The sequence below is a fragment of the Homo sapiens genome, chromosome 4, assembly GCF_000001405.40.
Source record: "Homo sapiens chromosome 4, GRCh38.p14 Primary Assembly".
In the NCBI taxonomy this organism is placed as follows: Eukaryota; Metazoa; Chordata; class Mammalia; order Primates; family Hominidae; genus Homo; species Homo sapiens.
Window position 1 is genome coordinate 120,862,845 of NC_000004.12, and position 24,181 is coordinate 120,887,025.

At 37.0% G+C, this 24,181-nt stretch overlaps 1 protein-coding gene across 22 annotated transcripts in view, besides 1 other annotated feature; it reads right to left on the reverse strand.

Annotated features, from left to right (window-relative positions):
- PRDM5 (PR/SET domain 5) overlaps positions 1–24,181 on the reverse strand; it is a 238,436-nt gene that overhangs the window by 178,554 nt on the left and 35,701 nt on the right. The gene's annotated exons all lie outside the window — the stretch shown is intronic.
- Positions 22,619–22,799: a silencer, noted in NCBI's record as "fragment chr4:121806618-121806798 (GRCh37/hg19 assembly coordinates)". NCBI's record gives its function as "represses an EF-1alpha promoter that drives an FKBP-Casp9 reporter gene in an ReSE screen in HepG2 liver carcinoma cells {active_cell/tissue: HepG2}" and the evidence as "EXISTENCE:reporter gene assay evidence [ECO:0000049][PMID:32094911]".

Sequence of the window (24,181 nt, forward strand, 5' to 3'; positions counted from 1 at the left end):
GCATTTTTATTTGCGGGCAAAGAGTATGCTCTGGCCAAGTGCAGTAGCTCACGCCTGTAATCTCCGCACTTTGAGAGGCCAAGGAGGGTGACTCGCTTGAGCCCAGGAGTTCGAGACCAGCCTGTACAACATGGCAAAACCCTGTCTCTACTAAAAATACAAAAATTAGCTGGGCATGGTAGCACATGCCTATAAACTGGCTACTTGGGAGGCTGAGGCATGAGAATTGCTGCAACCCAGGAGTTGCAGGCTGCAGTGAGCCAAGATTGGGCTATTACACTCCAGCCTGGGTGACAGAGCAAGACTCTGTCTAAAAAAAAAAAAAAAAAAAATATATATATATATATACACACACACACACACACACACACACACACACACATATATATGTATATATATATTTGCTCTGTGTGATCCTTCACGGGAGGGAGACAGCATAAGGAAGACTGCACACAGGTTCCTCCAGACTCTGCCTATGCCTTTTCCCTTATGATAGGGCTGTACACACCTACTACGTACTGTAATAAACCTTAGCCATGAGTACAACAATGGGCTGAGTCCTGCGAGTTCTTCTAAAAAATCAAGTGTTGGGGCAGTGTTGGGAACCTCCAACACACAAGGTGAACTTAGTTCCATGTGCTGAAAATGGGATACAAATTTGCAAATAGGAGAGGCAGAGGGTCATTTCAAGATTAACAAAGTTTTATCATACAAATACTTAACTTACAGAAATTAAACCATACCAATTCAACCAAAGCATTTAAAAAAATGAGAAAAATCAAAGAAAGAAAATAAATTGAAATAATAAAGACCATTCCCTTTTGTGGCCAAAAAACAAACCAACTCCATCTAGCGATCAAATAAGGAAGAATATTCAGGAGTAATTATAAGAAATTATTGCCTTATAAATTGGCTTCAGAACGTAAGTTTTGCAAAGAGGTGAATCCACTGTAGAGAAAATTATAACAATGAAAGAATGGTAAAGTAACTTAGTCATTTTGTGTGGAGGAGACATAATGAACGACAGAAGTAAATCTGGTTGGGAAGATGCAGTTAGTCAAGGACAATAGGACTCAAATTTTGTGGCTGGAGCAGCAAAATCAAAGCAATAACAGGAAATAAATGGTGACTGTATGAATTAGGATATTCTATCCTCCAACTAACAGAAATTTCAATGGCTAAGACTAATCAGGGGCCACCCCTGTAAGGCGTTAGCTTCTCAGTAATAATACACTGCTGCATGGAGGAAGGGTGGAAACTCTGCCAAATCTCGATTCAACTGCGAAAGATGAAGGGGAATAGATGATGGGTGACCAACAACCCTACTGTGCATGATGAATTGTGTATGGAGGGAAAATTCTGTGAAAGGTGAAAGGACTAAATATACTATGACAATAATTGTATTAATTTATTAATCTACATCTTAGGAGCTAAGGAGAAAAGCATAAGGATGGGAAGTACGATCTACAGGCCTTGAACATAAAGTTGATATCTGATATCTAAAAAGCACAGTATCAAAGATTAAAAATCAGACAGACCAATATTCTAGATGTTTTTAATCCAAGGCAGGTGAAATCAGGACAGGCAAACTTAATGTAAACAAGAAAACAATAAAAACACAAAATTAAGAAATATTGATGTTACATGCAACCAAAGAGGAACACAGCAAATCCTTTCTAAATCCTCTTCCCACACATCCAGCCATCAGATAGGTTGGCTGAGGATTCCCAACTCTACATCTCCTAGCAGTGTCATCATAGAGTGGAAAGATATTGATATCTCTGAGTGTCATTGATCAGTATCAGAAAGGGTGATTTACAGAATATCCTTTAAGTTAAGGAGTGTTCAGAAAAATTATTCTCTAAAAGTAAACATTTTATTCATAAAAATAAGAAATTGATCTGTACTTGTTCCTAAAAGATTTTGTTTCCTCACTCAGAATCTGACTAAAGCTCTTATGTCCTAACAATTAAATGGGAACAGAAGCACCAACTCAGAAGAGCCCGTACATCCATGTTGTACACACTTCTCTCTTACTATAGGTCATTTTCTAGAATTCTGCCAAAAGGCTCATGCTGCCAGGAGGTAGGATCACTGGCATAGGAATATCTCCCTGCTACAGACACAGCTGTGTCTCGCATCAATAACTGCTCTGGCAACAAAAAATCTGGCAAGAAATGCCATCCAAACCTAGAACACAAATATTGCAGCAGAAGACATTTTCTACAAAGAAAACCAGGGCTTCTTCCCTTGATGTGATTTTCTTACACCATCAAGTGCCTGAACCAAAGGAACTGAAAATGAGGCTGCACGGGAACCTTTCAAGAAAGGAATTTGGGACACTCCAAGTGGGGAGAAATTCTTCAGGAATGTTGTCTTTTCCAGAGATATGGGGCTTAATGGTCTGTCTGGGTTCAAGGACTCTACCACTCAGGACATTTAATAATCACTCTCAAATCTCCTCACTCTGAGAAAAACATATGGCCTGTTTAAGAAGAGTAGGGACAGACACTGAGATTATTCAGTCCTTGCCATTGCTGAGTCAGCCTTGATATCAATCCTGCTCCAACTCTAGTACCACAAAATCTTAAAACTCCATTTGTGATTTGTTCTCCTGTAGGATAATCTGATATCTCCTTCCCAACCAAGCCTTTAAGTGACTGGGTTACCACCAGCTGCTCTACACCCCACGGAGTCACTCTACTCATCAAACTCTTTCTTCAATCCCGACATTTTGGTGACAGGGTTATAGCGATGCATGGTTGGATTTGCTCGAGGTCAGATGACTGCTAGCCCAGATCTCTGCCAACTGGCACTCCCTGGTCCTCAACATGTCCACAGTTCCACTCCTCTGAGATGGGTAACCTGAATGGTGAATTATAGTTCCTGGGCATCACTTACACTGTCCTCATACACTGATCTCCGGGGTTCTCATCTACTCTAGAAATTGAATCTCACTCAAACCTGGTCTTGCTTCTAATTCTCTGCCTCTTCCTGACCAAGAGTATCCACCAGGACTTCTCCAGCCTGACCCAGCCCCCACCCCCATCAGAGCTTCCTCAACTTTTCTTGTTAAGATGTCAAGAAAAACTCTTAGATTTGGGGCATGTTATGACAATCAATGATCCACCATTTGAATAACAATAGCATTTTTGTAATTGACTCTTTTTCTATATCAACTCAAAATCTATCTTCGAATTCATCTTTCACACTATTGCCAGAGTACTCTTTGCAATTCTTCCACCTCCTCATACCAATGCTGTTTGCCAGAATTCCAAACTCCTTTGCATGACAAAAGAGGCCCTTCACATGCTGACTTGTCTGTCTCAGCTCAGATCACTGTACCTCCTCCCACTTCACTGCACACTTCATTGCACACACACCTGGCCCTAGCCATCTAAGAATGCACATCCACTGCCTGGAGCAGGGGAACAGTGCTTCACACTTTCATCTGAGAGATTCTCACATGAGTCAGATTCCATAAGGATGAAAGATTCCTATTTGGGTCAACATCATGTTACTTTTACAAACATGTGCTTTGCATTTTATACTCATTTATTCTATGAAAAGTGAAACATGAAAGAAAAGAAATCTGCTTTAAAAAACAAATACTAACAGTATAACTGCTAATAGTTATTGAGTGTTTATTATGTGCCAGGCACTTTGTTAAACACCTTTATATATATTATATAATTTACTCCTCAAAACAACTCTATGAGGTAAGTGCTACATATTAAGCACGTTTAACAGATGAGCGAACTGAAGCAGAAACAGAAATGAATAACTTTCCAAAGGTTTCACAGCTGTTACTGGAGCTAGGGATTGAACCAAGATGATGTGATTCCAGAGCCCACCATGTTATACTACCTTAATACACTCACTACCTTGGTCACTAGTTTGCCAACTGGTAAGCAGAATTCTAAGACTGACTTCCCATAACTCACACCTTTGTATAATGCCTTCCCATTTGAGTATGAAAGAAACCTGTGAATATGATATCACTCCTATGATCATGTTATATAGGGATAATCTTTGGGGAGCCTAACCTAATCACATGAGCTATTTAAAAGCAGAGAATTTTCTCTGGCTGGTAAGTATAGAAGTTAAAGATATTAAAATGTGTAAAGGATTTGACATATTGCTGAGATTGAGGGGCTCACAGGGTGGCCTGAGAGGGGCCATTCGCAGACCTAGGGACTGAAAACAGTCTCTAGCCAAAAGCCAGCAATAAAATAAGGACCTAAGTCCTACAATCTCAAGGAACCAAATTCAGCCAGCAACCTGAATGAGCTTGGAAGCAAATTGATCCTCAAAGCCTCCTAATAAGAACCCAGCCCTGCCACTACCTTGATCTGGCCTTTTAAGACCCTTAAGCAGAAAACCTACCTGGACTTCTCACCCACACAACTGTGAGATAAGAAAAAAAAATGTTGTATAGGGAATATTAAATGATCTTCATAAATTTTAATACTAACTCATATTACAAATAGAGAAAATCAGTTCCTCTTATAAAATAAAATTTTAAAAAACCAAAACATATGTTTCTACATTTCCCATTTCATCAGTTTTCTCCAAATCTTAAGGCTTAAATTATATATTTTTTTCATTTATTACTGAATGGTCTGAGTACACTTTCACCAGTGTATATAGAGACATCAAACTTGTATCAAGAATTTAACACATAAGGAAACTATTGACCATAAATATTTTTTCTATTGCTCTTTTCACCTCATAAAGACATAATAAACCATTAAAAATACAGATGTAGAACACAATAAAGGGAAGCAGTTGGGAAAACTGATGCTCAAAAGGTATTATGTAACTTTAGTTTGAGTTTTTTAAAGTATGCTTACAAATCTGGGGCTTTCCCCAAGGGAGTGTTTTTAATTTTGCAACAAACTACCCTTTAAAATAAGTCATCTAAAATTACAAAGTGACAAAAACACCTTCTTTGTCCAGAGATATCTCACTTCATTGGCAGCTGTTAGCACAAAAGTGAGAAAAACTTGGCCTGAGCACATACAAAAACCCTAATATTAAACTCTAATGACAAGCAAACTGGACCCAACTTCACCTTCCAAATGTGTTCACTGAGTGAAATGGGAACAACATTGGGCGCTGCCAATGAACTCCTTCAAGACAGATTTTAAATATGGGTATTATGCTGTTCTGTATCATGAATATGCATAATATTTTACTTTCATTAACAGTTTCTTACTGACTCTAACATCTACTGCTTTATTCACATATTGTAACCCTATTATACTTTCCTTTAATGGGTCTCTCCTATGGAAATATCTATAGTTCTTGGGCTTTTTTACCTAAACAAGAAGTGGAAATGTTCCTATATAGTATCAAAATTCCTTAATCAGAGGTTTTGCATAGCTGATTTTAAAAAAACTTATTGGAAAAGAAAATATGGCATATATACTGTGTTTATATAACATTTTCTGCAGGGTTTGGGACACCATTCCATAATCAAGCACATTCACATTTCTGCAACTAAATGTATAAATAGTAATGCTAGCTAGGTAGGATAAAAACAAAAAGCTACAAACAACTTTACATAAGTACAAGTCAGGATTTGCTTCTAAATGAGTTATTTTTTTCTAAATGTGGTTTTCAGAGCCTCTTGGATTTCAGATTTCTAGATTAAGGGCCTATGAACCTAGAGGTTAGAATGAGTGATTAGATAATCCATTAAAGTCCTTTTCCTCCAGAGAGATGATACAAACTTAGTAGAATGATGACAGGTCCTCTTGCAATGGTAACAAGGAAAAGTGCAATGCCACAGAATTAAAGAAAAACCTGTTAATTTATTTGGGACCAAAGCTTCTTAATGTGTTCTGTCTGTAAAAGGTGGCATGGATAGTAGGTAACACAAAGGAGTATTAGATGATTAAATGTCCTGACACTACTGTTCAGGACAACTCCTAAGAAAACAGATTTTGTTTATGGAGAACTAATTCTACACTCTCTTTGACCTAAAAATGAAGCCTATAGATAAAAATAAGGCATTTACAGTCTCTTCCATACTTATGAATATTATATTCTTTTCCATGTCACCTACAATCTACTCATTAATATGCAAATTGGAAACAACTTGCAAGTCCTGGGCAATATATCAACATAGCCCTCCTTTGGGATTTGAAATGTCTGAGATTTATAAAATATAAAACTACTACCTTAAATGCAGACAAAAGAATATACATATATATGTTTCCATCGATCTCTATGGCCTGACAGATTTTTTTTAAAAAACATGATTGTTAAATCAAAAGTTAAAATGTAACAAATATACACATCAAAACATTAATTATCTAAGCTGCACTAAAAATTCTTCAAAGTACTTCTGAGTAGTCATTTATCATAGGGCAAGGAAATTATAGACCAAATCATTAAATGGAATTTATTCAAGTCCATGAACATTAATCTTCTTTATATAAAAAGAAAACAAAACTTCTCAGGTAGAATATTATGCATACTTTTTCAGCAGTGTTTGCAGAGCCTCCATTGTGCAATGTAGTTACATTCATGCAAGTGGTTTTCACTTGTAGAAAATACAATACCTAACTTTTAAAAAGTTCATTGAATTCACTTTTTTACATTAAACATAAATTAGACCTACAATTGGTTGCTAAACAGACCAAAAGGTAACCTCCTGACAGCTTATATAATCTGATACAAATAAATCAAGCTGCTCATAAAGACACTCATAGCCTGCCTGTTGTCCTCACATTTAATTTAGTACATAAAAACAACAAAAGGTCTTGGCAAACATAAAACTGTAAACTACCATGAATACAAACAGAGCCTGTGTTGCTATAATATTAAAGAATCAACAGATGGTTGGCATCAGGAGACTGGCACAGATACAGAAAAACTAGAAAGACAAGTAAATAAAAAGGCAAATGTGTAGAAATTGAACAAGGTGTCTTTGATCCTCCTTTGCCATGTTGAAAAAAAACCTCATGTCAACACACAGAGGTCTGGAATCTCTGTTAGCACTCATGCATCTGAGATCTTGTGAAATACTCAGCCTCAATTAACCCATGCATGAACTACAGAATTTTTAAAGTCTGCCAAAGTCTACATGAGAGCACTGTGTAAGGAGACTGCACAGTTCAAAAAAGAACAAAGAAAAAAAAAGAGGAGGAAGTAGAGGAGAGAGGAAGGAGGAAGAATAGGAGAGGAGGACATAGGAGGAAGAAGCAGAGAGAAGGACTCGGAGGAGAAGGGGAGAAACAGCGAGATAAAGGACGAGGAAGGAAGGGAAGACGGAGGAGACAGAGGAAGGGAGGGAGAGGCAGGAAAGAGGAGGAAAGTGGAGGCCTGCTGGTCTCAAACTCTGATTCACCAGGCACATCCCAACCACATTAAGGTTTCTGAGAGCCATATGATGATTTTATGACCTCGAGTGAAAGAAATACAAATATTTAAGTCTTCTATTACTCCAAAAATCATTAAGCAACTACATGTTAAGCACTACACTAGGCACTAGGACACACAAACAAAAGACTCTGCCCCATTTTATTTCATTCGATAAACATTGTTTGCACTAATAAAGATCAACATCTAGGACCTGCTTGGAAAGAGCTCACAGTCTAGTGGGAGGTGGGGGAACAGCCACCTAGTGGGGGGTGGGGGAAAAACCTCACCTGCCTGACCTGCCTTGGGTATTCAGAGAATAGCAGGGAGAGGCCCCTAAGCCAGCCCAGGAAAAATAATGAGTGAGTACGGATGAGAAAAGAGCTGACAGTCCAAGTAAAGGGACCAGCAAGAGGAAAGGCACATGTGTGAGTGTGAATTAAACGTGAAGCTGTAAAGAGTCAAGTGTGAGGCAGGAAACTCTGAAGAACAAGGTTCAGAGAGGTTTGCAGTGGGTCAGACCTTGGGCTCCGTGTGACATTTGGTGGCAGTGTGGAGCGGACGGTAGCTCAGCATCACCCCTGAGTGGATTCTCAGCAGTCAGGACAGAGTTTCAGATTCCTCCTAAGAAGGAGATTTATTCAGAGTCTAGGTAGGGTTGAGCCTGGGCAGGCAAGAATGACCACCTACTATATGTTAGAGGTTTTGCCTCTGGAACTATGTTTTGTCTACCTTCTCCTACTCTCTTGTGCACAGAATATAGATTCATCTTGCCAGATTTCCCCTCCAGTAGAAGACTATACTTTACAGCCATGCTCCCGCCATCATCCAGCCTATCCTTGAACACCTCCCTCTCCACATGGGAAGAGGGAACTCTCTAGGCTGTGAATCAGCAGGTTTCACAGTTGTACCCTTCTGCCTGCCAGAAAGTTTTTCCTCAGGTTGATTAGAAACACACTTCTCTCTAGTTCCACATAATGTTTTGTTGTTGTTGTTGTTGTTCTGTCATCGAACAGGAAAGCTAAGCCTTCACCGTCTTCCACATGACACCACTTTAAATCATATGAAGACAACTATCTGCTTCTGTTCTTCCTCAGGTTGAGCCCTAGTTCCCTCACTGACTGACAGGTCACAGCTTCCAGACCCTTTCTGGGTATGGCTCCCTGTGGCACGTCAGATGTTTATCAACTTCCAGGTCTGTGTCTAACAGGCAGATGTTGACACGACCCTCCTGATATGGTCTGACCAGTACACAGTACCAAAGCACTATTCTCTCCCTGTAATCTGACCACTCTACTTCTTTTATTGCATTCTGAGTTTTTGTTATTGCCACCAAATAATATTGCTAACCAAAATGTCCGTATAAAATCAAGTAAGATATTTGCATATAGGTCAATATTAAGTCTAGTATCCTCCATCGTAAACTTAAAAAATTACTCTGAATTTCATCATATATGCATTTAATCCATCACTCTAGTTACTAAAAGCTTTTTGAATGCTAAGTATCTTAAAATATTATCGATCCTTCAAATACATTAGGGTGGCTACTGTTTCAAAAAAAAAAAAAAGAAAGAATTGGTGAGAATATAGAGGAATTGGAACTTCTGTGCCATGTTGATAGGATTGTAAAATAGTGCAACTGCTATTGAAACAGTACAGAGCCAGGTGCGTGGCTCACGCCTGTTATCCCAACACTTTGGGAGGCCGAGGTGGGCAGATCATGAGGTCAGGAGTTCGAGACCAGCCTGACCGACATGGTGAAACCCCATCTCTACTAAAAATTCAAAAATTAGCCAGGCGTGGTGGCACACGCCTGTAATCCCACCTACTCAGGAGGCTGAGAAAAGAGAATTGCTTGAACCCGGGAGGCGGAGGTTGCAGTGAGCTGAGATCACGCCACTGCATTCCAGCCTGGGCGACAGAGCAAGACTCCATCTCAAAAAAAAAAAAAAAAAAAAAAAACCTGTACAGAGGTATGATCCAGCAATTCCACTTCTGGGTGTAAATCCAAAATAATTCAAAGTGGGATCTCACAGAGATATTTGCAGACCCATATTCACAATAACCAAGAGGGAGAAGCAACTCAAATTTCCACTGAGGAATGAATGGATAAACAACATGTGGTATATACACACGAGGGATTACTATTCAGCCTTAAAAAGGAAGGAAATCCTATTGCACACTACAGCACAGAAGAATCTTAAAAACATTATGCCAAATGGAATAAATCAGTCATGAAAAAGGACAAATGCTGTATGATTATACTTATATGAGGCATCTAAAGTAGCCAAATCCTTAGAGGCCGAGGCAGGAGGATGACTTGAGGCCAAGAAATTGAGACCAGTCTGGGCAACATACCCTAATCTCTACAACAAAAATAAAAGATAAAAAATTAGCCAGTGGTGGTGGTGCACACTTGTAGTCCTAGCTACTTGGGAGACTGAGCTGGGAGGATGGCTTGAGCACAGGAATTTAAGGCTGCAGTGAACTATGATCGCACCACTGTACTAAAGCCTGGGTGACACAGTGAGACCCTGTCTCTAAAAAAATAAATAACTAAAGTAGTCAAATTCCTAGAATTTGAAAGTAGCATGGTGATTACCAGGGGCAGGGGGTAGTGGGGAGGTGAGATGTTTAAAGGATATAGAGTTTCCGATCTGCAAGATAGAAAAGTTCTGGAGATCTGCTTGATAACAATGTAAATATACTTAACACTACTGAACTCTACACTTAAAGTGGTAAGTGGACAGTTAAGATGGTAAATTTTATGTTATGTGTTTTTACCATATTTTTTATTTTATTTTTTTGAGACAGAGTCTTACTCCATCACCCAAACTGGAGTACAGTGGTTCAATCTCTGCTCACTGCAACCTCTGCATCATGGGTTCAAGCAATTCTCATGACTTAGCCTCCCAAGTAGCTGGGACTACAGACATGTGACACCATATCTGGCTAATTTTTGTATTTTTTTGGTAGAGGCAGGATTTCACCATGTTGGCCAGGCTGGTCTCGAACTCCTAACCTGAAGTGATCTACCCATCTCGGCCTCCCAAAGTGCTAGCATTACAGGCGTGAGCCACCACGCCCTGACCACAATTTTTAAGAAGAGAAAAAAACAGTATCTATCCCCTCCCTTCACTCTAGTTGTACAGACAGTGGGCTCAAGATATGTGCTCAATTTTCATGAGTCTTTGATAGAAATAATTGAACAGGAAGAGCCAAGACAGAGCCTGCTTTTCAATTAAAATTCAACACTCCGGCTATAAGTGGCCAACTATCCATCAGTACTTCAAAGTTTACTATCACACAATCCACATTTCTTCACCTCCCACAAAAATTTACAATAGTCATTGTCAAACATTTCACTCAAATCAAAAGTCATTATATCTATTGGACTCTCCTGGGTTTACATGACCATTAAAAACATCCTACAGATTTCTCATGTTTACCAGTGTTCTGAATACTCTCCAACAATATGTCGGTTATTTCATTCCAAAATTTTGTAACTGAAGAACTTCATAATTTCCAAAATCTACTTTTTCCCCACTAGGGGCTTCATTTGCCTTTATTTGCCATGATTTCTCAAAAAATAATAGAAAGTTTCTGCAAGAAAAGGTACTTATTTTTTCAGCACCCATGTATATAATTTTTCTGGGATAGTAGATAGAAACTATTAAATAGCTGTTTTTTTATTAGCTCCTCATGCATTTTGGGCTATTATGTACACTTTATTAAATGTTTATCCAGTTTTTTTATTTAATTGACACATAATAATTGTACATATTTATGGGGTATGGTGTGCTATTTTCATACACATATATTAATGTGTAATGATTAAATCAGGGTAATTAACATATACATCACCTCAAACATTTATCTGATATTTGTGTTTAGAATATTCAAAATGCGCCCTTCTAGCTATTTGAAAGTATACAATATACTGTTGTTTATTATAGTCCCTCTATAGTGCTACAGAACACTAAAACTTATTCTTCCTATCATTAATGAAAATTTCACAGTCAATTGTCCAAGTAATCAAAATCAGGAACTCCAAAGTCCAGCAGCTTCTATTATTGAAGTAGAAGATGAATATGTAAAGTTAATAATAATGACTTTAATCACACATTAACAGAGCATGCAAAGTGGGAGTAGAAAGCAGTGGAGGTGAAATGTTTTCTGTCTTTATTTAATAGATAAAATAGAGATTTAAGTCAAATATGTGGAATTTAAAATGGATTTCTGCTTCAGAATCACAAGAGAAGATTAAAGCAAATGAAACATTCAGCTTAACTGCATGTGATTGGTTTCAATTTTCACAAGATTCCTGAAAAAAACTCTTAGTTCACTAAGAAAAAAAAATCATTTTAAAATGCAAATAACAGCCAATTTAAATCAAAGCCAGTATGCTTAGTGGTAAAACACATAAACATGACATTGAAATCAAGATTAGGACAAGATTGATTACTATTAGCTTTATTATTTAACACTATTGTGAAAAAAATCTAGCCAAAGAGGGGGAAGAAGAAATTGAGTTTCTTTTTCTTGCCCAATACTGATACTGTGGGTATACTGAGGAAACTGGTCCCAGATTGCAGATTTTGTCTATGTCTCTGAAGCATCTGAGCTTCTGGCTCTGACAGGAAGTATATGTGTGTCCTATGGCCTGGGACTACAGCCACTGCTCAGGAAGCAATTGTAGCACCTTGTAGGGAAGAGGTGGTGGGAGGCTCCTGTTCTAAGTGTGGTCTGCGTGCCAGCTGCATAATCACCTGGCCTGGCTCTCAGCAGCAGATCACAACACTGAGCTGAGAACAAGCTCACTTTTCTGATGGGCGGTGGACGGAGAGTGTTCCCCACCTGTGGTGATGTCAAGAAGGCCTGGCCTGGCCCTCCCTGATGAACTGGCTAGGATATTTAAAGAGAGTTTCCTGGCCAAATTTGGTGACCTAAAGCATGCGGCCAATCTTTTCCATCTATTTGTTAGCCAACCCAGGGCCCTGACTCAGGCCACCCTAGAAGCCAGGGCCTAGACCACACAAATACAGATTAAAACAAAGACAGGAAAACAATTTCAACTTGAGTGCCAATTCCAATTGATCAGTGGAGTTTGCCTGGAGCACTGTGCTGAGGATGACTCTGAGACTGCCAAGGAGCCAGCAGCCTCTGTCTGCACTAGCTGTTGAATTAGTGTACAGGAGGGGAGTTTATCTTCAATCCAGTGTCAGATGGTCATGGCACTTGAAATACCTCACAGGGGCAACCCTGAAACCATCAGTTCATTTATGCCCTGGAAGCAGAGCTGTTAGGAAAGCTGACTCTGGTCTCTGAGGACCAGGTCAAGTCAGAATGGGAATCAGCCAAGTTTCCACAAGAAAACTGGCCATAGAGAAAAAACAAGCCAAAGCTAGATTTCTGAGGAAACTATGAGAATATGATTAACCCAAGGGCATGGGGAGAGTATGATGTGAAAGAAAGCAGTGTAGTTAGTGACAGATTTCACAAAAAAAGTAGTAGAGTAGTAGACAGGGGGCAAAATACAAATGACTAGGCATTTTGGTAGCTATTCCTTAAATAAGAAATTGCTTCCAAAAAATTCTTTTTCACAGAAAAAAGCTGCTTACAGGATAGATGCCATGTTGGAGTGGGTAAGTAATTCAAGCCACGTTGCTTCTAAACAGTATTTTATAAAGCTATAAAATCATCATTATTTCAAAAGTGTATAGAGTTTGTTCTGCTAGAATGCTTGTTTGTAAAATGACAACTGGCTCCAATGCTATTGATATATTAGGGAACAATCTGAGCACAATAAAATTTCTGATTTTGATCATGCACAATTTCGTCTCCCAGAAACACTAGGTGAATGAAGAAAACTGCATCTAGCTGAGCTACAGAGAAATACAAATGAGCCACAGAGAAATGCACAAAACACTCACACCTCAAATATCTACCACCTTCCTTGGTTCACCACATGTATTGTGAGACACGCACATCCACATCAGGAGTTATGACCTTCCATCTGTTTTCAGATTACCCTCCTTCCACCACTGCAAAAGAATCACAACCTGCAGCTCTTCTTGCTGGAGACTTCCCCAAGAAAACTTTAGGTCTTTTTTAAAGTAAACTGAAATATTTATTGTACTATTCATCATTCTTAATCATTTAACATATGTAAAATTGTGCTATCATTTTTATTAGATGCCTATCTTTTATTTTGTGTGTCAATTACAAAGATTTTGTGTATTGTGTCCCTAACCCCATTTTTCCCATAAGACTTGTGATTTTTATTGTTTGATTTGGCATAGTACAGTGACTTTTAGGAACATATATTGCATTATAACAGAACTGACTGTATAACCAAACAACTAAAGAGAAACAAGGTCTAAAAACATAAAGACCTTACAAAGTAAAAAAGTTGAAAGCACTTCAGACTGTGAAATGAATCCCACATCAGATATATTCCAGGGTGAAATTAAAATTTTATAAGCTTTATTTACCAGAGATACATTTGATGAAAAAATATAAGGATTCTATTTACCACAAATCTCAGGAATTCCCAGGACATGAAGGAATGCATGCAAAATTTTAGAAAAATAAAAACCACCTTTATTCTCTATTGCTATAGGAACTAGGATGTACTATGTTTTATATAACTTGAGTAAAATACTGACAAAAATTTACAATGTGGGCCATGGGAGAGCAGTCAAATCCAGAGGAATCCTTAAAAACAAAACAAACTCTTATAGGACATTCTCTTGTAAAACTCTAAATAGGTGTCTTATCAAAACCTATCCAGAAAAATCTTATCTGAGAAACAGCACATATTATATTTTTTATTACAAATAAAAAATAACTTTTTCTCATGAGAAGGATAAAGACTAACTTGCTGAAAAATAACTCCAGTGCCAACTCTGAGACAAGGTAGGGTCAATCAGCCAGAGTTCAGAATCATAAACTTAACAAGGAAGAGAGCATGAGGTAAGTTCAGCTATATTTTTACGGCCTTGAATAAACGAAGACTTTGTTTCTGAAACACAAGTGACCTTTAGAGTAGCAAATAGTTTCCTCCTCAAAAACCCGTATTTCTGACCATGGCTATTTCCATGTACCACATCACTTAGGTTGAAATTTTAACTGAATAATCAAAGTAACACTTATTTAGCCTAGCAGTTATTTATTTGGCCAGCTGCTGTGATAACCACATCATGTTCCTGGGATAACTGTGCAATTTAACAATTCAGTTGCTTTTCCATTCCTGGACTCAATTTTTAACTCCAGGCTGCTAGAAGAATAATTTATATTAAAATAAACGGGGCCGGGTGCGGTGGCTCACGCCTGTAATCCCAGCACTTTGGGAGGCTGAGGCGGGTGGATCATCTGAGGCCAGGAGTTCAAGACCACCCTGGCCAAGATGGTGAAACCTCGTCTCTACTAACAATACAAAAATTAGCTGGGCATGGTGGCACAGTCATTTGATCCCAGCTTCTTGGGAGGCTGAGGCAGCAGTATTGCTTGAACCTAGGAGGCAGTGGTTGCAGTGAGCCAAGATTGTGCCACTGCATTCCAGCCTGGGTGACAAAGCAAGACTCCGTCTCAAAAATAAATAAATAAACAAACAAACAAACTTATCTTTCAGCCAACTTCGTGTTTACTGCCCAGGAACTCATAAAATGTGGCATGTAAGAATCTCTTTTTACTGGCCACACAACAAAGATAAAAGAAGAATAAAATAATAAACAACTAGTTTTGGATTATTAACAAAAAACTAACCACCTTGTTTTCAGATTGGAAGTCAGTGAAATCACTCAGATATATCCAAAATCTCAAACAGATATTATACGTCCATATGGTAACTAAACATTCAGAGAGAATAATACAATTTTTGAGCAGAAACTAACTGCTATAGGAGTCTACAGAAGGACTACAGAAGATCTAATTTCTGTAGACTTTCATTTCTGTATTCTTACACCTATGACCTTTCTCCCTAAGAAACAAACTTGTTGAACTTACCTCCTGATTAAAAAGTACTCTGTAGAAATATTCATCAAAATAAATAAATAAATAAGCTGATTAACAAAGAAGGAAAAGCAATTCAATGGGAAAAGGATAGTCTTTTCAACAAATGGTGTTGGAACTACTGAATGTTCACACACAAAATACATATGTAGACACAGACTTTATATTTTCCACAAAAATTAACTTTTCAAAATGAATCACAGATCTAAATGTAAAATTTTCTAAAACTAAAAAATTCCTGGAAAATGACATAGGAAAATATCTAGGTAAGCTTGTGTTTGGTGATGACTTTTTAGATACAACACCAAAAGCACAGACCCATGAAAGAAATATTGGTAAGTTTGACTTTATTAAAATTAAAAATTTGTGCTCTGTGAAAGACACTGTAAAGTGCACAAAAAGATGAGCCACACAGTGATACAAAAATCTTTGCTGGTATACAAAAGATACAAAGAACTCTTAAAATAGGAAAACAACTCAATTTTTTAAATGAGCAAAAAAAATCTAAACAAACCCTTGGCCAAAAGATGAACAAATGACAAATAAGTATAGGAAAAACATGTTGAATATCATATGTCATTAGGGAATTGCAAATTAAAACAACAAAGAAATACCACTACACATCCATTAGAATGGCCAAAATCTAAAACACTGACAACACCAAATGCTGACAAGGACATGGGGCAACAGGAACTCTCATTCACTGCTGAGTGGAATGCAAAATGGTACAGCCTCTTTGGAAGACACTTTGACAGTTTCTAACAAAACTAAACATACTCTTACCATGTGATCCAGCAATCACGCAATTTGGCATTTACCCAAGTGAGTTGAAAATTTATGTCCACACCACACAAAAACTGCCCACAAATAATTATAGCAGTTTTGTTAATAATTACTAAACTTTAGAAGCAATCAAAATGTCCCTCAATAAGTGAATGGATAAAGGAACTGTGGTACATCCATACAATGGAATATTATTCAATAATAAAAATAAGTGAGCTATCAAGCCTCAAAAAGACATACAGGGGAAAATTTAATGCATATTTCTAATTGAAGACAATCTGAAAGGGCTACATACTATATGACTGCAACTATGATTGACCCTTGAATAACACAGATTTTGAACTGTGCAGGTCCACTTATAGGTGGATTTTTTCAAAGCTACATCAAATATGCCTGCCTCCCATTCCACCTCCTCCACCTCTAAAATCCCTGAGTTAACAAGACCAACCACTCCTCTTACTCTTCCTCCTCAGTCTACTAAATGTGAGGTGACAAGGATGAAGACCTTTAATGATGATCCACTTGCACGTATTAGATACAAAATATATTTTCTCTTTCTTAAGATTTTCTTAGTGAAATTTCATTTTGTCTATCTTACTTTATTGTAAGAATACTGTACATAATACACATAACATACAAAATATGCATTAATCAAGTATTTACATTAAGCTTCTGGTCAACAGTAGGCTATTAGTAGTTAAGTTTTTGGGGAGTCAAAAGTTATACATCAATTTTCAACAGCACAGGGTTCAGTGCCCCTCCCCTGTGTTGTTCAAGGATCAATTGATTATGAGATTCTGGAAAAGGCAAAACTATGGAGATAGTTAAAAAAAAAATCAATGACTGCTGGGCACTGGGGTGAAGGAGGGAGGGACGAATAGAGTACAGGAAATTTGGGGGCAGTGAAACTATTCTATATGACACTGTAGCAGTGGACATATGTCATTATGCATCTGTCAGAACCCATAGAATGAACAACGCAAAGAGTGAATTCTAATGTAAACTATAGATCTCAATAATAATGTATCAATATTGGTTCATCAAATGTAACAAGTGTACTGCACTAATGTAAGATGTTAATAATAGGGGAAAATGGGGGTAACACGAGGGTAGACATGGGAACTCTTCTGTAATTTATACTTAATTTTTCTGTTAATATACTTCAAAAAACAAAGTCTATTAATTAAAACTCACACACAAATAATTAAACTGAAGCTAAAATCAACTGCTAAATGTCACAATACAAGTAAAGAATATATAAACTAAAATATTAAAGTTCACTTTCTCCATAAATATGACCTATACTTCTCTCTAAATTTGCCATGAGCTAATTCCCGAGAAGGAGCTCAGGGTACTCTTGACACTCTCTATGCCAGCACTGTCCAACAGACATATAATGTAAACCACATATGTAATTTTAATAGTAGTAACATTAAACAGAGCAAAGGGAAATATACAAAATTAATCTTAATACCTATATTTAAACCAATATATTCACAATATTATCAATTCAACCATGTAACCAATACAAAAATTATTAATGAGACATTTTACCTTCTTCAAAATCTTTGAAATCTGGTTGTATTTTATACCTACAGCACATGTCAACTCATATACTACATTTTCGTCATTAATATTTAATCTCAGTTTAGGTTTTATAAAATTCATAATTAAAAAAATAGATTCACAAAAGCAAGTTGTTCCAAAGATACTTAAAATATTCCAATATGTAAATAGAGTACCAAAAAATCATTGTCCTTTAATACATTTACATCTACATTGACAAAGCTGGTTCGTCTTTTTTTAGAATTGATTTGACTTTGATGAAAACGCTCATCAATTTCAAAATTGCATCAATCCAAGATAAGTAAATTTATCAACTCTGGGTGTCAATGAAGTATTAATGAAATTAAGTTCAACGAAATATTGTATAAATTGAAAAACAACACTAAGCTTACCATTATCAACATAGCATTCATCAAATTGTTCTCCTGGTTTTTCACATCAAGTTTACATAACACTGTACTATAATTAAAATCAACTGAATTTTTTTTATGTGTAAAAACATAATTATTGATTTGTATTGAAAGTTTCAACAACCAGCTAGGTTATAAAATGTTTTTCCCTTCCCTGGAGCTTCAATTTAGCTCATTTATGTGCAATGTGATATTGGTGAGAAAACACAAATCACACAAAGATTTTTTTGTCTTTGATTATTTGTCAAGTATTTATTTCTCAAGAAAATCTTCAGAGTCAGCAGTATGATAAATCCTTGTAAAACTCTTCTGCAACTCAATCATAGAGTATTGGCAAACGGCACAAATCCATTAAATTCCTTGTCTTCTATTCCTTTTAATAGTTCCACAAATTGGCAATAAGTAAAATCGCTGGCAAATAAACGAATGAATTTAACAATTAAATCCATGACATTTTTCACAGAGTCTACTTCAAAAAACTAAATGCAAATATTTTCATTATGTGTCATGAAGTAGAATTAACCAGTATGGGAAACATTAGTCTCACACTTTAAAAATTTTGTGTCTGGATTTTTTGACTTACCATAGCCAGAGCACCATTCTCTATGAGAAAACTAACCATATAAAGAATTTTTTAAAACTCTACACCACAAGTTCATTTATTTAGGCCATGAATTGACATTTCTTTGTACATCTTGAAAACCTTTGAAAATAACTGTATGGAAAGTATTAACTGGGTGGTGTCTCATGTAATATGACTCACCTAAAGCCAAAAAATAAAAAACCTACTTGCAATTTTTCAAACTTTGACTCAATTGATCTTCCTTATTGTTGGAAAGGCCATGTATTCTATTGTCTAATGTTCACTTTTAGGCTTTTCCTCATACTTCTGCAACAAAATTTTGATAACTGAAATAATTTCTTTTACAATCCCTCTGACCAAAAATGGCTCTTTCTTGAGGCAGGAACCAAGCTGACCAAATCTACAGATCCTGTTGAAATCATATGAAAAATATTTATTGTGGGCCTCTTGGACCACATGCACAGCCCCAGAGGGCATTCTCCCAGATTCCTTGCCTCCTTCCTTCTCTCCCTCGCTCAGCGGGGTCCTAAGCAAGCCAGGCCCTGTGACAAGCTGCTAATAAAGTTGCACTGCAGAAAAGCACAGCAATGGTGCCAGGAGAGTGTGTCCAGCAAGCCACTGAGACTTGAACCAATGAAGGAAGCATATGGCTTCATTGCAACCTCCGCCTCCCGGGTTCAAGCGATTCTCCTGTCTCAGCTTCCCGAGTAGATGGGATTACAGGCACCTGCCACCACACCCAGCTAATTTTTGTATTTTCAGTAGAGACGGGGTTTCACCATGTTGGCCAGGCTGGTTTCGAACTCCTGACCTCAGGTGATGCACATGCCTCGGCCTCCCAAAGTGCTGGGATTACAGACGTGAACCACCGCACCTGGCCACCTTCTTCCATCTTCATTTTGTCCTTTATTGTTCTGGTACTAGCTTCTGTATCTCCACTTAATTCTGCATCAGTAGTATATTTTCTTTATATAAATTTTTGCCACATTTGCATTTTTATATTAGAAAGCTACGCAATACAGTAATTGAAATAACCATTTTATAATACATAAATACCATGTATATAATGCATGTATAACAAATCTCTATATTATTACTAATCTACAATCTACAAAGGTATTATTGGAAATCATGTTGTCTGTATGAAATATTCAAATGAACACATTACAAAGTTACATTCGTGTGTAGAAAAAATTTATTTTCAAAAAATCATTTGAATTATTCCATTGACAATTAAATCAGTGATAGATATAATTTTCAAAACAACGTACGTGCCTCATACACACCCTACAATACAGTTATATCTCACACAATGCAACAGTAAACTAAAATGTAGTCCTACCAAAGAATAAAGCTGTTTGGTAAAAACATATTTTACATTGCCTCAGTTTTTAAAATTAAATAAAGCTAAAATAAAGTTAAAAATTCAGTCCCCTGTAGTACTCGCTGGATCTCAAGTGCTCAATAGCCATATGTAACCAGTTGCTACCATAGTGGACAGTGGCCATTTGTATGCTTAAGGTTAAATTAGTTTCTTTTAAAGTGTTATTGTAGGAAACATGAAAAGTTTAAATGCAAGCACATTACTTACATTTTCCCCTTCTGCCTTCATTTTTTTCTCTCAATGTAAAGCAAACAGAATTATTAAGTATTATAGTGTTAGAAGGTACAATAAAGATCAATTAATCATCTCCACATTGCACTTTCTTAAAGTTGATTTTCGTTTATTTTGCTAAATGTTTTCTTTTTCTAGTATACAATTAGAAATCTAAAAACATAGGAAACCTGACTACCACTAGTTTAATGCAACTCTTATTTTTATTTATGCAATAAATACTAAAAACTGATATCAATCCACACAAAAATTTTCTGCACTGCTAATGGTTTTACTTCTAAAAGTACACACATTCATCTCTTGGAGATCCTTCTAAGAATCCAAAATACTTATCTGAAACTGGTTCTAAGAAGTTAACAAGGACACAGGAAGGGCAACATCACACACCGGTGCCTGTTGTGGGGTGGGGGGAGGGGGGAGGGATAGCATTAGGAGATATACCTAATGTAAATAATGAGTTGATGGGTGCAGCACACCAAGATGGCACGTGTATACATGTGTAATAAGTCTGCACATTGTGCACATGTACCCTAGAACTTAAAGTATAATAAAAAAAAGAAGTTAACTGAAATTTTAATATAAGGACTTAATGTGTTTAGAAGATTACTTAGAGAATCATAGCTCTTCAAATGAAACTTTGCACAAGATATTAATGAAATATATAAAATATTCAAAAATAATTGCTAAAGGGTACAGGGCTTCTTTTTGGAGTGATGAAAATATTCTAAAATTAGACAGTGAGGGTAACTGCACACTCTATAAATATACTGAAAACTAATGAATTACACATTTAAAAGGGTAAATTTTGTGGTGTATAAATCTTAATAAAACTGCTATGAAAAATTCACAAATGCCCCCTGCATTTATGCCCAATCTATTAGTGAAAAAACAAATCTCTTCATGACCACATATCAGAGAAGCAATATTACTACTGCATATATTGAAATAAGAGTTACTTTAAAAGATTTATATAGGGATCCCATTGGTCTCATATATACATAGAAATGCACACAAAAATATCAGCAAGAGTGAATACACAAAAAAAATAATGTGGGACATTAATGTCGTATGTATTGCTATAATTTTTTACATCATGTGTGATGATATGTAATGAAAAATAAGCATTTTTGAAAACATAACCTGGTTGATATTTGTATCTCCCTTAATTTACACTTTTCCTACCTTCATTTACACTTTCTCTCTACTTGAAACACTTGCTTTAACCCCTAAAAATGCATAAAAGAAATGTTCTTTTATAGTTCCTACAACTAAAAACACTTTCATTAAGTATGCTTTCTATGCTCCCCAATCAAAACATTTGTATAACATAGAAATAATGAAAGATACAAATATTGGACTGCTTACCAGGCTTTAAGCTTTACCTTCTCTGCCCGATACTTTTTATCTTTCTAAGTAAATCCAGCACCCAGTACAAAATATCTAAGAAAGAGTAAACATCGAAGACATATTTGTTGAATGAAAAATAACAAATGTGTTCATTTTCATGGGGGACACTACTTCTGAGTGTACACCCTGACCATCCTCCTCCTTCAAAGAACATTAAATTTATTCATATACCTACTCTTTCCTATGAAGTCTGATAAAAAGCTGACCTTTCCCAGCTCTAGGTTATGCCTGACTGGAATAAAAGCAATCTCTTTCATCTCTTTCCCTTTCCCAGTTCAAAAAAAGAAACACTGGCCGGGCGCGGTGGCTCATGCCTGTAATCCCAGCGAGTCGGGTGGATCACGAGGTCAGGAGATCGAGACCATCCTGGCTAACATGGTGAAACCCCCTCTCTACTAAAAATACAAAAAATTACCCAGGCACGATGGTGGGCTACTCGAGAGGCTGAGGCAGGAGAATGGCCTGAACCCGGGAGGGCGAGCTTGCAGTGAGCCGAGATCGCGCCACTGTACTCCAGCCTGGGCGACAGAGCAAGACTCCGTATCAAAAAAAAAAAAAAAAAAAAAAGTAAAAAAGAAAAGAAAAGACATACGACACATTACCCACCTCTGGCATATTAGAGGAGATCTACTAGGAGAAGAAGATTCTTCAAAAGGTACCCCTATTCCTTACAGACACTATCTTGTCTGCAACCTACCTGATACCTGCCACTAGCTTGAGGATTAAGCCTCCACCAAGGTAGAAAGGTGAAGAGGTGGAAAAAACTTGGGTAACATTAAGTTATTAATCCACCAGCCCTGAAGCCTGCTTGACTACTGAACTTCCTCTTATTTGACATAATGTCCTTCCTCATTATTTAACAAGTTGGAGTTGGAGTTGCAATCAACTACATCTATCTGATAAAATTCCTCTAGTTCTACCCAGCCAGGCATGGTGGTTCATGCCTGTAATGCCAGCATTTTGAGAGGCCGAGGTGGGCAGATCATTTGAGGCCAGGAGTTCAAGACCAGTCTGTCCAACATGGTGAAACCCCATCTCTACTAAAAATACAAAACTTAGCCAGGCATGGTGGCACATGCCTGTGATCCCAGCTACTCACGAGGCTGAGGCAGGAGAATTGCTTGAATCCAGGAGGCAGAGGCTGCAGTGAGCTGAGATCACACCACTGCACTCCAGTCGGGAGACAGAGCAAGACCCTATCACCGAAAGAAAAAAAAAAAAAATTCCTCCAGTTCTATAAGTTGTGATCAGAACCACAAAGGGAATGGAAGTACTCCAATAACACAAAAGTTATGTGTTTTTTTTTCTTTTAGTCAAACAATTTGGCTTCTAATTCCAAGCATTCTTTAATCACACCTCAGGTTTTGCTGAATGACCAGAAATTGGCTGGCATATTTAGGTAGGACCCATCTTATGAATGGCAGATAAAGGACAACCACAAAACACAGAACTTCCAGAAGACATGAAACATTCGATTGCTTTGCATTTTCCCTAACTAGAGGACTAATGTCAGGAAGAATGCACTATGACATTTGTTTTAGGAGTTCCAGCATTCTATAAGGCTTCATAGGTGGTATTTTTCCACCAAGGTCTACACTAAGTGGTTCCATTTGGACCCCATAACAAAATGTTATCATCTGCAAAAGAAAAACATTTGGTAAAAAGAATTATTTGTTCCAAACACCTAAAAGGACTTCCATAAACAATAAAGAAAACAAAAGATTTTAAACAATTGAAAACATTTTTTCCCAAAACTAAAACACATTGGAAACCTGGTACTGAACCAAGTTCCCAACAGCAGGACAGCTGTAATCACATAATAACTGCAAAGAATGAGAAAAACATGTAAACAAAATGTCCAGTTTAATATCCAACCAATCTGCTCCTTTAAAGACTATATTTCAGTCAAATCAACATCATCATGAAAAAGAAAAGAAAAATCTCTATAAAGTAGGCAAGGCTCAGAGAATTAAAATACTAAGGAAGTTAATCAGTTGTTTCCTTTTTTTAACCTTTAAGTAACTTATTTTTTAAGAACGCCAATGGTAAAAATAGCTATACATTTATGCAATGTATTTATTCAATATGAATGATTTGTTGAATAATGAATATGAAATGAACTTTTATTCAATTATATTTATGTTCTAGATACTCTGCAAAGACCTGGGGAGTAAAGATAATAATAAGGTAATAAAAAGACAATGCCCTTCCTTCAAAAGTCTACAACATAGTCTACCCCACCTTGTCATCCCTCTCAGTCTCAGTCTTATATAACTGCCCTATCTCAGACATGTCATCACCTTCCACTCATATAGCTTAAGCCAAATACTTAAAAGTCATTCTTGACTCTTCTCTTTCTTTTTTTTTTTTTTATGAGATGAAGTCTCACTTTGTTGACCAAGCTGGAGTGCAGTGGCCTGATCTCGGCTCACTGCA